Consider the following 14,363-nt stretch of genomic DNA (forward strand, 5'->3'; position numbering starts at 1 on the left):
AACAGTCTTTAAAATTTAGCCAATCCCTAGAAATATTATTATATGTAAACTGTCTGTAAAAGTCTAAGACTTGGGAACTCTGAGATGCCATGCCATGCCCTGTGTTAATACTCACTTTCCCAAGGCATCATCAACGTCACCGCGACTTGGCTCTTGGCCTCTAACTCGACCTCTACAGGTTAAAGGCATGAGTTCATCAGCAGGGTAAGCATGTTCCTGCAAGGAAAACTTTAGTAAGTTACTAAGGAAAATAAGCGAAAGCACACATCATTTTGAGAACATAACTTTTTCACAGTTAAAAAATAAAATAATAGTCAAAAGTTGTACTAAATTTACACCCTGTGGAATCTTTTCAAAAATCTTTAATTACAAATGTAATACATGCTTGGAAAAAAGTCAAACAATACCAAAAAATTTCTTTAAAAAACTGATAATCTGCTTCCCCTCCCCTCCCCAATCTCACTTCCTAGAGCTAACTACTGATAAGACTGGCATTTATCCTTCCAGATTTATCCCACATACATTCAAATACATACACATATATTATTCTAAAATTTTATTTATGAACAGGTGTTCATGCCATATGCACATATTGCTCTAACATTTGTCACTTAAATAATGGAGTTTTCTTCCCACGTTTTTAGAATGTTACAGATGTACTCTATTCTAATAACTACAAACTGATAACATTAGCTAATATTTAATGAGTACTTATATTCTAAGTGATATTCTATCTATATATTTTAGTTAATTGTCACAATGCTCTGAAGTAGATTCAATTATCTCTAATTCATGGATGAAAAAACTGAGGCCCAGAGAAGTTAAGTAAGCCTAGATCACACATCTAGTAAATGATCCAGAATTCAAAGCCAGGTACCCTGACTCCAGAGTCTATCCCCTTAGCAGTACCCATTCCTCAAAGTATCCCTTTACTGATGAACATGGAGGTTGATTTCAATTTTTTTCTATACAAACAATGAAGCAATAAACACCTATGTGCATGTATCTTTTGAACATATGCCAGTATTTCTATGTATCAGATACCTAAAAATAGACCCATTAGGGTCAAAGGTATGTGTAACTAATTTTTGGTAAATGCTACAAATTGAGGACACCAATCTACACTCAATTACATTCTCACTAACATAGGAAATGATCAATAGTTCACATTTTGCCAAACTCCTAGGTAAAAGATGGTATCTAAAGATTCATTACTAATAAGGATAAACATCTTTTTGTATTATCCATTGTTATTTCTTTTTTGAAATGTCTGTTGATCTTTTGCCCATCTTTCCATTGGTTGCTTTTTTTGGCCACAAGAGACTCTCATACATTATGTTTGTCACACACAGTAAACATTTTTCTCTTTTGTTTGGCTTTTAACTTTATCTTGCTTTCACCTTATGGTTTCTGGCTTTCAAGCATGCTTAAAAGGATACCCTGAACCTCTGAAAATAGCACTGTTATACTTTTTTTATATTTAGATATTTACTCCATCTGGAATCTATTTTCATTTATAATATGAAATAGGAATGTAACTGCATTTGCTCCCCAAAAATAGATAATTTTCTAAATACTACTTTTAAAACAATCCATCCTTTCCCCAATGGCTTGAAATATTGGGTTCATTAGTTCTAAACTTTTTGCGAACACATTTCTGTAGTATTTATTCATTCTACAGATCTATTTGCCTATTCCTACTCCAAAACCATTATTTTAATTATTTTATCATTAAAATTATTTTAATTTTAATAAAATAATTAAATTTAAATTAATTTTAATTAAATTCATTTTAATTATTAAAATAACTATTTTATCATTAAAATAATTAAGATTAAAAGTAATAATTTAAATCATTAATTATAAAAATTAAATTAAATTTTAATTATTTTATCATTAAAATCAATAAACCATTATTTTATTATATAAAAATTATTTTATTAAGTTTACCCTTCTGGAGAACTTTGATATTTCCTTAAATTTTACTGAAATTTTAATTGGAAGAACTGAATTTGGGGAGAATTGATATCTTTAGCAACTGAGCCTTCCCTTCTCAGAATACAGTAGGTCACTGTATTAATTCAGATCTTCTTTTATGAATTCAGTTTCATCCTATAGGTTGCACATATTTCTTAATATTTATTAATAGGTACTTTATAGTTTGGATTACTGGGATTTTTGTTATTTTAATAATGACCATGACAGATCATTTCTGGTGTAGATGGTAATGAAGTACATGGAGGAATCTTCCTTCCCTACCCACTACAAACACAATGAAATGCTAAATAAATGTTATAAATTATTTTTTAACACATAGTTGAGCTTGAGAGTAAGAAATTTTCAAGTACCAAAATTAAACGGTGGAGTATAGAAGATAAAGCTGCACTGACCACAACATGGGTATTAGGAATAAAGACAGATTTTAGCGGGAGTTATGTTAATGCCCAAAGGACATAGGAGTTGATGCTGGTGGCCCTGCATACATGGCCACGAGCCAGGGCTAGGCTCTTTAAGTTGGGTGGTTGCTTTTGTGAAACTGGACTAGAACATTTCTACCTACTTGCCACGGGTCTTAACAGAAAAGAATAAAAACCATAAAGACCTGCTGATCTTTATATTTCCTTCACCAAGAGACAGTTTCTGAAACATTCCTCTAAAATTAATAAAATATAATTATGAGAAATATTTTGAGGTTAGAATCGTGTTAAGTACATGTTTCAACTTTAGGTAATACTAACTCCCTGCACCAAGAATAATAGGATTAACATACTCATAATTCTCCCCCTCAATATAGGATTTTTGTCAGTTATGTTATTAGAGGGAGTCTCACTTTGTACGGTCTCACTATACACAAGTTTCAATTACTACAAATTTGTTACACACCCAACAACATGGTTCAAATTTCAGTTATCATGATATATTAACTGTAATTACGTAAAACACAAACTTTGATGCTAGCTCTTTAGTCCACAAATCACTATGTAAATAACATGCTCATCATGATCAGTGATCAATCACATTACTTCTTTCAAAGTCTGTCAAGTGAATGATCACTCTGTTTACTCAGTTCACACAGAGGTGAGTGTATGTTGCCTCCTAGTCGCCCCGTGATAATCCTATGTAATAGTTTACAAAAATGAACAAAGGAGAATTAGCCAACAAACATGAGAGTCTGGCAAAGAAATAAAAGGTGACAACACGAAGTGAAATTTGAATTGAACATAAATGAGGTTATCAACAAATTTTAGCTGACCATGGGAATGTCGACACTTTCTCCATTCAAGAGACTACAGATAAGCAGCCACAGAAACTTAATAAAGGCCAAGTTATTGACACACATTAAGAAAGTGGTTGTGACATAAAGGTTGAAGATGTCACAGAAAAAGCTATGCCCACAAAAAAACTTCCCATTAAAGAAATCCTCAGATATTTCATGACACTGAAAGAGCAAAGGACAAAATATTTGAAGCTGATCCAAATTTAGAAAGGAGTATGCCAATTCACCAAGTATAGAAAAGATGCCTCCTCTGTAACTGAAGTTATACAATGAGAAGGCAGCAAAGAAAGCACTGTTTAAACTACTCTTAATGAGTCTTTTGTTTAAAAAATAATAATAATAAGGCCAGGTGTGGTGGCTCATGCCTGTAATCCCAGCACTTTGGGAGGCCAAGGTGGGTGAGTCACCTGAAGTCAGGAGTTCGAGACTAGCCTGGCCAACATGGTGAAACCCCATCTCTACTAAAAATACAAAAAATTAGCTGGGTGTGGTGGCAGGCATCTGTAATCCCAGCTACTCGGGAGGCTGAGGCAGGAGAATTGCTTGAACCTGGGAGGCAGAGGCTGCACTGCGCCGAGATCTCGCCATTGCACTCCAGCCTGGGCAACAAGAGTGAGACTCCGTCTCAAAAAAAAATAAAAATAAAAAATAAAAAATAAAATGAAATGACCTTAAATTTCAATGTTTCTAATATTTTTAATTACCATATAGTAAATAATAGTTTTGCTATTTTTTTCATTTTTCTTATATTTATAACCATCAGAAAGAAAAGTTTTGATGCTTTGACAAAGACTTTGAAGGTTTATAACATCTACATTCTGGTCTGGAACCATAATTCCCCAAGTTGCTAGTGTTAGAACCCAAGTGGAATTGATGCACAGCATTTTTCTAAGGCTTCTCCAATTTCTTAGTTTTTACTTTGTTCATCTCTTGATTGCCTGATATACTCAGGTATTTTATTGCTTATTTGTTTTAAAATAAGAGTATAACGGGTATTGTAGTTCTCTGATATTCCTGGGTTAGGCTGTCTTTTGCCTTATTGGAAGAAAAATTTGAATGGTTATAAAATGGCTGGAACAGTTTTTTTTCCTTCAGAAGTTTGAAGATACAGTTCTATACTCTTCTTGCATTTGCTGGGTGTTGCTATGGCAAAGTTTCTAAGACTAGAGTGGTCTTTTGTATCTTGTATATGACTTGTTTTTATTATGTGAATGTCCATATGATTCTTAGTTCTTGAAATTCAGCAAAAAAACTCCCAATTCCATGTCCAACTCTCTCCTACTGCCTCTCAGTCAACTTATTTAGATTCCAAACTCATAGCAAATTAGCAGCAGAAATACAGACTAGTGGCCAGGAACACTAAACACATAGGAAAGGGAAGGAAAAAATACACACAGAAAGGGGGGGAAATAACTTTCAAAGCAGGTTAAAGAATACTTTGCATTGAAGATGGCAACCTTTCAGACATTTAGAAAATTGCGTGCTCTGTAATGATCCATTCCTGGGTAGAGGATTCTAGGCAACACATGTTTTGATAGCATCAGAATCCACATACAGCTACTAAATTCTGAGTTCAATACCATGTAATTTTAATATTATATATAATATTTCAGCATAAATTCCTAATTACTTTTTTTGAAACGGAGTCTCACTCTTTCACCCAGGCTGGAGTGTGGTGGTGCAATCTCAGCTCACTGCAACCTCTGCCTCCCAGGTTCAACAATTCTCCTGCCTCAGCCTCAAGAATAGTTGGGATTACAGGTGTGCGCCACCATACTTGGCTAATTTTGTCTTTTTGAAGAGACGGGGTTTCACCAAGTTGGCCAGGCTGGTTTTGAACTCCTGACCTCAGGTGATCCACCTGCCTCGGCCTCCCAAAGTGTTGGGATTACAGGCGTGAGCCACCATGCCCAGCCCCTAATTACTTTTACACGTATCTTTTCATGTGTCAAATTCCTGACTACTCTTTTATGTGTCAATTCCAACAGAACTGATTTCCCAGAATGTACATTTTTATTGCTTTATAGTTTTATATTTAACACATATAAACAACACTTAGAAGAAATACAAAAATTTTTTAAAATTCCTAATGTATTTTGAAAGAATCTTTGTAAAACATCATTCAAATGTTAATTAGGTTGTAAACAGTTCCTTACTATTTTAAACACTGCATAGAAAACTTCATACTGCTGTTTTTTAGGGTTTTCTAACACACAGACACACACATACCTCTGTCTGAAATTAATATAAATTCAAACTCTAAATTAAATATGCCATTCAAATCCTGAAATTAATCTAGATAATAAAAATATTAATAGCAATTGCAACCCAGAATAATCAAATAAGGGAGTTTCAAACCAGGTGTAAAAATACTTTGTCTCTTTGTTTCAAGATTAAGAATAAAAATACAACCACACCTTTTTCTTTGGGTTAACCACAAAGCAAACTACAGACAGTTTGCACAAATTCAGAGCAATGCATACGTGGCAAATTAACAGCCTTATCAAGCTTCAAACATCCTGGCTTTTTGAGGCACAGTAATACCTCCTCTCTCTTCACAGTTTATTGTTGAGGGATACGTAATTCATATTGATATGACTCAGAGCCATGAGAAACATTTAATAATTATCACTCAGAAATAAAACTCAGATGATGAGAGTCCTATATAAATTAAGTAGAACATGTGCCTAGCTGAAAGAGCAAAAATAAAATAAAATAAAATAAAATAAATCATAATAGACCCTCCATATCAGACTCTAAATTTACTAGGGCTTTGAGGTAACAGACTTCTGCTCTAAACCACTCAAGTCAAAGCAGCATCAAAAACTGACTCTTTGCTCCTAGATCTGGTAACTTCAGCAATTTTAAAAAAGAACAACAAAGCTGAAAGACTTAAACTGCCTGAGTTCAGGACCCACTATTAAACTACAATAATCAGGACAATGTGATATTTGTATAAGGGTAGATAGATCAACAAAACAAAATACAGAGTCTAGAAACACACCCATGTATACATGATAAACCAATTTTTTTACACATATTTCAAAATAATTCAGTAGGGAAAGGATATTATTTTCAACAAATGGTGCTGGAATAACTAGACAGCCACATTAAAAAAATATATAAATCCACCTTTACCTCACATCATATACAAAAATTAACTCAAAATCAGTTATAGATCTAATGAACAAGCTAAAATTATAGAACATCTAGGAAAAAAAAACAAGAAAAAATTTGTGACATTGGGCTAGGCAAATATTTTTTAGGTAGGCTATAAAAGGCATGAATCATAAGAGAAAAATAATAAACTGGATTGATCATAATTTAAAGTATTTGTGCTTCAAAAGTTCCTGTTAAGAAAATTAGAATGTAAAGCACAGACTGGGAGAAAATATATCCAAAGCATATATTTGATAAGGGACTAATATCCAGAACATATTAACTTTTATAACTCAGTAATAACAGAACAAATGACAAATATATATATATATATATATATATATATATATATATATATATATGAATAGCAAATAAGCATATGGGAAAATTTTCAATGTCATTAATCATCAGGAAAAATCAAATTAAAATCACAATGAACTACCACTATACACCCAACAGAATGGCTGAAATTAGTAAGACTGGAAATACCAAGTGGAAGGACACAGAATAATTAAAACTCATACACTGCTGGTGGGAAATGCAAAATATTATAGCCATTTTAGAAAAGATTGGCATTTCTTATTAAGTTAAACTTACACTTGCCATATGACCTAGTAATCCTATTCCTAGGTGGGAAATATATGAAAATGTATGCCCAAATAAAAACTTGCACTCACAGGTTGACAGCAGCTTTATTAATACAATAATAGCCAAAGACCAAAAATAAGTCAAATACTCATTAAATGGTGAATGGACAAAGAAATTATGTTCAATCAAATCAACTAATACTACTGAGTAATAAATAAGAATTACAATATATCTCCAATATTGTGTTCTAGCAAATCAACTAACACTACTGAGCAATAAATAGGAATTACAATATATCTCCAACAACATGGATAAATCTCAAAAGCATCATGCTAAATGAAAGAAAGTAAATCAAAAGACTATGTACTGTATGATGCCATATATATGAAATCCTAGGAAAGAGAAAGGTGTAGTGACAAAACACAAATCAAGGTTGCTAGGCGTCAGAGGTGGGGAGAAGGAATTTACTGCAAATAACTATGAGTTAAATTTTTGGGGTGATGAAAATGTTCTGTATCATGACTGTGATGGTGGTTAAACAACTGTATACAATTGTCAAAAAAGAATTGTGCACTCAATTTGAAATTTTATTGTCTGTAAATTATATCTAAAAAAGATGAATTAGCTGAACGATCTGGTTCTACTGAATTAAAATTCTATGTAGAGTATCAGAGTGTGATTACAAAATGTTTTGAGAGGATACTATAGAATTTCTTGTGTAATTTTGGTAGGGTTTTAGGATGTTCTGAAAGCAAAGGCCAAGGAACAATGACTCATAGATGATAGTCCCACAACAGTCTACACAAAAAAAGGTAAATATAAATTTATATCTCCCTTACTCCCATTAGTACCATGCCTAAAATACTTTGTTTACAGAATTACTGTTTCTGATGAATGAACCATTAAAGAGAAACACCGAGTACAGAGTTTCAGATTGGGAAGATGAAAAAATTTCTAGAGATGAATGCACAACAATATGAATGTACTTAATGCCACAAAACTGTAAACTTAAATGGTTAAAATGGTAAATTTCATATTATGTATATTTTACAACAATAAAAATTTTTTTTAAACATTGGGGGGTAGGGGAGAGGCACTCCAAAAAAATGTACATAAATCTAGAAATGCACAGGAAGTTCATTTTGAAAGAGTTCCTTTGGTTTGATTAATAAAGACTATTCTACTGTTGCTTTCACAAAATCAAGCTTAATAGTGGTTATTAGGTACGATTCTACTAAAGGAAATTGTGCTTACCAACTCTATCCAAGCTTATTTTTAATGTTTAGGGCTCTTACCAGAATATAGTTTTTGCTTGTAACAGTTTGAGTTGTCTAACACAGACAGGAAAAACACTGGGAGCTCCAAAAAGGTTCTACATTTGGATGGCCCAAATACATGTCATTTTGTCATCTAAATTAATCTGCAAACTAAACTGAACACAAATACTCAAAACATGCTAACAGAAGCCCTAAAGTGACTGTGGCCTGGGGTTAAATAAGGTCACACAAGAACTGCTAAGATAAACATCAAATTCATGTCATTTGGTAAACGAGAAAGCCATCTGTGCAATTCACTGTGGGTAAACTGCAGACTGACTGGGGCTAGACATTTGTCAAACATAGTCGTTATTAATAGTCATGCCAATAAGTGTTAAAAACCCAAAAATCCCTAGATTTAAGTCCAGAGATGGCAGAGTTGTAGTAATCTACCTAAAGCTGGCAGGACATTTCTATTAAGAAATAGCATTAATAGAACCTTCTATTACATTAATAGAAAGTAAGTTCAAAGGGCACATGCCAAGAACAGGAAAGAATGTATGCGCTTTAAGCAAGTTCTATGTACTATCTGGAGAACAAGTTCTGAGTTACAGGCTAAGTGGATTTTAGGAGGGCAATTTCAATTTAGGCAGGAAATAAATAATAATGATAGTAGTAGTCGTTATCAGTAGCAGCAGTAAATTCTTACATCATGCTTCCTATTTGCCAGATATTAGTTCTAAGCACTTTCATTATATTAACTTGCTTAATCCTTCTAACAACATTGTGAGGCTGGCAAACCATTGTCTTCATTTTGCAGAGATGAAGAAACAGGCTCAGGAAGACTAGGTAACTTTCCCATTGTAACCCAGATGAGAGGTGGCAGAGCCATCTCAGGGTGTCCTGCTCCAAGTCCAGAGTTCTTGCTCTTAATAATACTATATTGCTTGTCTTTGGAAAACACCACTGCTTTCCTGGGAAGCAAGAAGGTTAAAGGAATTGTTCTACTGTAGACCAGACTGGAGAGTAGTATTAGAAAGAACTAGTGAGAAATGAGGAAAAACTTTCAACATTTATTAAAAGCCTGCCATGTACCAGGCATTTTATATTTTAGGATAGTAGGCAACTGACTACAAAAAAGTAAATGACTTACAGGCCCTGAAATTCACCTTAAACTTGTATTTTTAATTAAGTTTATTATTTCTTTGCATTTAAACACAAAGATATATCACAATGATCAAATGCAAAAAAAAAAAAACATTATTTTACTTCATCTTCACAAGAATTCAATTCAGTTCTTTCAAAAAAATTTGCTAAGCATTTATGTACCAGGCACAAGACATATAAAAAAGGTGAATGTATTAAAAATTAAAGAAATTGGTTCCTGTTCTTTAAAAAAAAATCTATAGTCTACAATAACTCTTTGCAATTATTCTCATTTTACATAGAAAGACACTGCTCAGATGGGTTAAATAACCTGTTTAGGGTCCAACCTGTAAATAGCTGAGACAGGATTTGAACTCAAGCCCTTCTAACTCCAAAACCTATACACTTTTACCCTACAGAAAGCTAAAAGTGTTTCTGAGTGTAGGGACCGGAAAAAAATTTCCAACTGACTTCAAATAACAAATACAAGGCAACTGTATTCTCGTTAATATTTTAGAACTGTGTCATGTTAGTTGAGAACTTGAAAAGAGGAAGTGTAAATTCTAGACTAAATCTTGGGTTACAGACCTCACACAGATTGAATATAGAAGAAGTACACAGCAAGAGTCACTCACATTGTAAAATAGTTGAACATTTTAAAATACATATTACAGTGGACACGTATGGTCCCACTGGAAATATATAAGACAATGTTACTTTCAAGAGTTCCCAGTCTTTGAAGCTGAAATCCTTCTCTCTTAAATCTTATTAAGTAGTTAATTGTAGCAGAAAGTTACTCAGTTAGGTCCCAATAGGCACAGGCCAGAAAGTCCTCTGAAAGCTGCCCTCAGTACCTGCACTGTCACAAACCTACTAAGTGTATTCTATAGTTAGAAAAAATGTATTGATATAACTTTCTGCCATTGATATAACTGTTCTACCTAAAAAGAACAAGATATTAAAGATACCATGCTTTATAAAGAGATGATCCTATTCATTGTGAGAAACTGAACTTATCCAGCTATATGCTATTTTATTTAACTTTGGAACTGCATTCATCAGTACGCATTTATGAGATGGCTAAGGTCTGAGGGTATAGGATGGAACCACTTGGCCATCTCAAAATCATTAGCCTAGATTTGTTAAATTATGCTTTGCCCAAACTGAATTAACCAGGGATAAATGATTTTGAAAGAAATAAGGGTTGACATGTGGGTGACAAAAAAAAATTAATTAAAAAACAGAACGGGTGTAATGGCTCACACCTGTAATCCCAACACTTTGGGAGGCAGAGGTGGGCAGATCACTTGAAGTCAGAAGTTCGAGACCAGCCTGGCCAACATGGTGAAACCCCATCTCTACCAAAAATACAAAAATTAGCCAGGCATGGTGGCACACACCTGTAATCCCAGCTACTCAGGAGGCTGAGGCAGGAGAATCACTTGAACCTGGGAGGTGGTGGCTGCAGTGAGCTGAGATAGTGCCGCTATACTCCACAGCCTGGGCGACAGAGCACAACTCCGTCTCAAAAAAAAAAACAAAAAACAAAAAACAAAAAAAACATTAAGGGAATGACTGAGGTCTTGAGAAATAAATTTGAAACTGTGTTTTTAATGTTGAAATGTATCCAAAAAAAATCATATCCTAAAAACATTAAGAACTCAAAATGTGCTCTCTCCAAATTTACAATATAAAAGAGAACGAGGACTGTCAAATATAAAACATGTTTTAAAACTAAAAATGCATAAATTACATATATTTAGATGTTCATAGATAACAATGATGTTAGTGTATGAAGATATTTGGTTAATATATGATAAAAAATGGATTCACAGAATCAGTTGAAAAATATTTTAAGCAGAACTAAAGCTAGTCCTCTGCCAAACTTTCCCAACTACATTTTATACGTTGTAATCATAGAAGAAAATCTGCTGACATATTTTAAAATGTAAAAACAAGGTTATAAGGGATAAGTTTCAGGATAATATGCTTAAACTCTTTTCAAATTACAATTTATGTGCAAAATTTTTTTTGAATTCCAGAATTTGCTATTTCATCTACGTTGTTGCACAACAGATCTCCAGAACTTTTCATCTTGTAAAACTGAAACTGCTATTTAATCTTAAGTGAGCCCTAAAACATTTTTAAATAATATGAATCAGCAAACTAAAAAGCAAAATATATTCAGTGCAGAGTCCATGAGGATACAATTAGGACAGAGGCTAAGTAACAATTTCTCTTTTAAGCAATGGTTTTCTTCAGTGTATAAATATTGTAAACATTTTTTTAAATTAAGAGAATAATCTCCCTTAAGACCAGAGATAACATCTTCATGTATATATCCACAATATCTAGCTATATAAAGCACTCAATGATAATTGTTGATGGCACCCAAGGAAGCTGTTTAAATAATGAAGTTTCATAATCTAATTTCAATTTATTCTTATCTGTTCAATAAACTGGTTCCCTAAAAACCACTACCAGAAAGACTATTTTTGCCCTGTTTTTTAAAAACTTCCTTTTAAAAAATGTAATTGTATTGTAGGTTTCAAAATTCCCAGTTGACTGTGCTCACATAATAATCAACTCACATAAATGGTAGGTAAAGATAAGCTTCCTACTTACCATATAGTTACCATAAGCATGATCAAACATTTCCAGTACTTGATTCCTAATTTTAAAAGAGCAGAAATGGAAAAAAAAAAAAAAAAAGGTAAGTATATTCTATTTATTATCTTTCAAAAAGTTAATTCTTCCTCATAAAAAATATACCAATAAAAACAAAAGAAAAATTTAGGTAGAAAGGGACATAAACAGAATCAGAAACTACAACAGCTAGCAGACAAGCTTTCATGAACTCACCACACAGAGCTGAGCCAAACTTTAATGATTACTAGTAATTTATGTACAATTCATCTTATAATTTTTCCTAAGAAAACTGATGAATGATAGATGCCATCATCAGAGAAGGAAATCTGATGCAGAAAAACAATGACCTCTTAACACAATTATTTAACGTATCTGTCTTGAAGCGGGGGTTTTGCTGGACAGCCCTTTAAAAAAACCATTATTATTGCCATTTATTGCTTCCCCTATATGTTCTACTAAGAGAGAGGTACACAGGTGTGTAGTGACATGAAATAACAACGCTTTATGAAGCCTCTGCCTTTGCACTTACATTGAATAAACCACTAATGCCTAGTTTAAGTACATATTTATTAATGTTTGTCATATTTTCAAAAGATACTTTTTATGATGTGCTCTACTCTAAAAAAACTGTCAAAAATCAAATAAATAGTATTCACTTCCAAAATGAGAAAACTAATGCTCAAAAAGAGAGTTGTGTGTTTTGGCGAATTCTGTTTCACAAAATCTCCGTAACCACTGTTTAAAATGGAGATGTCTGATCACTACACCAGAATTTTACTAAATCAAAACCTGTAAGGTTGCGACTGAGGAAGCAGCCTTTCAATTAAGCACTCTCAAGTTCAGGGACTTGAGGACTACAGGAAAAAGTACAAGTTAATTGTATGACCAGACAAGGCCAAATAATTAGCAAAGGAAAACACAGCTTAACAATTTTTTATTAACTTTTTCTTTTTTTTTTGAGACAGGGTCTCACTCTGTCACACCTAGGCTAGAGTGCAGTGGCACGATCTCAGCTCACTGCAACCTTCACCTCCCAGGTTCAAGCGATTCTCCTGCCTCAGCCTCCCGAGTAGCTGGGATTACAGGCGTCTGCCACCATGCCTGGCTAATTTTTGCATTTTCAGTAGAGACAGGGTTTTACCACGTTGGCCAGGCTGGTCTCGAACTCCTGACCTCATGTGATCCACCCGCCTCAGCCTCCCAAAGTGCTGGGATTACAGGTGTGAGTTACCACGCCCGGCCTATTAACTTTTCTTTTACCAAAGTTCCAATCACTGATGGCAAGAATTGAAAAAAGTGTTAAAGAAATTGCTGACTATATTTTTATTTGCCTCCTGTTATACTGCAATTGTCATTTTTAAAACTATAATCACAGATTATGAAATACTGGTAATAATAGAGCTAGCAAACAGAAAAGACCTCAGTTCCAGATCCTGACTATGAACACCAACAAAATCAAGTACACTCAAACTTGTGAACGAATTAAGTCCTGACAACATATGAATAATAACCACTTAAAAACATTTCATTATTTAAAAAAAGACCTTACCACCACTTTGCTAAAGCACTAATTCTTTGTAAGTTTACATATATATATATGTTTATATATATATAATTTTTATATTTGTGGTTTACAGCTCTAGACTCTTATCCTGTCCTAAGCAGAAAAAAAAAAGTTTAAAATGTCCCTTTCAGGAACTCATATCAATGAATGGAAGATGGAAGTCCTCTTTTTTTTCCTTCCCTGAAATGGAATACGAGATTATTACCAAGAAGTAGAAATTCCTATAATTGGCAATGGTAGTGCCTAGACATGTATATTACAAATGACATAAGCTTTAACTTGCTAACTCAACTTTACAAGCATTCAATTTTCAAGACTGTAAGTAAATCATGATTGCATACAAGGAGAATACACTATTTTCCAATCCTTACATTTATGCAGCATATGATGAGCAAATTTTAGAACACATATTTCAAAGTGGAGCTATTTAATATCATTGCTCTTACACATAGAAGCCTAACAAAGTCACATTTAAATACAGAATGGTATAATAATTACTATACTGAACAGAAAAAAAAATTTCCATAATGTTTTATCTATTCAAAAACTGGATTAAAATGTATTGGAAATCAGACCCAGTTCAAAAATTACACCACTCTTCAGTAATTTCTGTAAGTCGGCTTTTTCTCTTTTTTTGAGACAGAGTTTTGCTCTTGTTGCCCGGGCTGGAGTGCAATGGCACGATCTCTGCTCGCTGCAACCTTCGCCTCCAGGTTCAAGCGAT

At 33.4% G+C, this 14,363-nt stretch overlaps 1 protein-coding gene across 5 annotated transcripts in view; it reads right to left on the reverse strand.

The window, feature by feature from the left end:
• EDEM3 (ER degradation enhancing alpha-mannosidase like protein 3) overlaps nt 1-14,363 on the reverse strand; it is a 64,622-nt gene that overhangs the window by 47,259 nt on the left and 3,000 nt on the right. For 4 of the 5 annotated variants that reach the window (NR_135118.2, NM_025191.4, NM_001319960.2 and 1 more), the window contains exons 2-3: nt 12,052-12,097; nt 116-216 (exon numbers count right to left, since the gene is read on the reverse strand). Coding sequence is in view for 4 of the 5 variants with exons in the window: in NM_025191.4 (NP_079467.3) it covers nt 116-216; nt 12,052-12,097 (147 nt within the window). In the remaining variant the exon portion in view is untranslated. The remainder of the gene's footprint in view (nt 1-115; nt 217-12,051; nt 12,098-14,363) is intronic. The other variant, XM_011510012.2, reaches the window with a different exon arrangement.

This window comes from Homo sapiens, chromosome 1, assembly GCF_000001405.40.
Source record: "Homo sapiens chromosome 1, GRCh38.p14 Primary Assembly".
Lineage (NCBI taxonomy): Eukaryota > Metazoa > Chordata > Mammalia > Primates > Hominidae > Homo > Homo sapiens.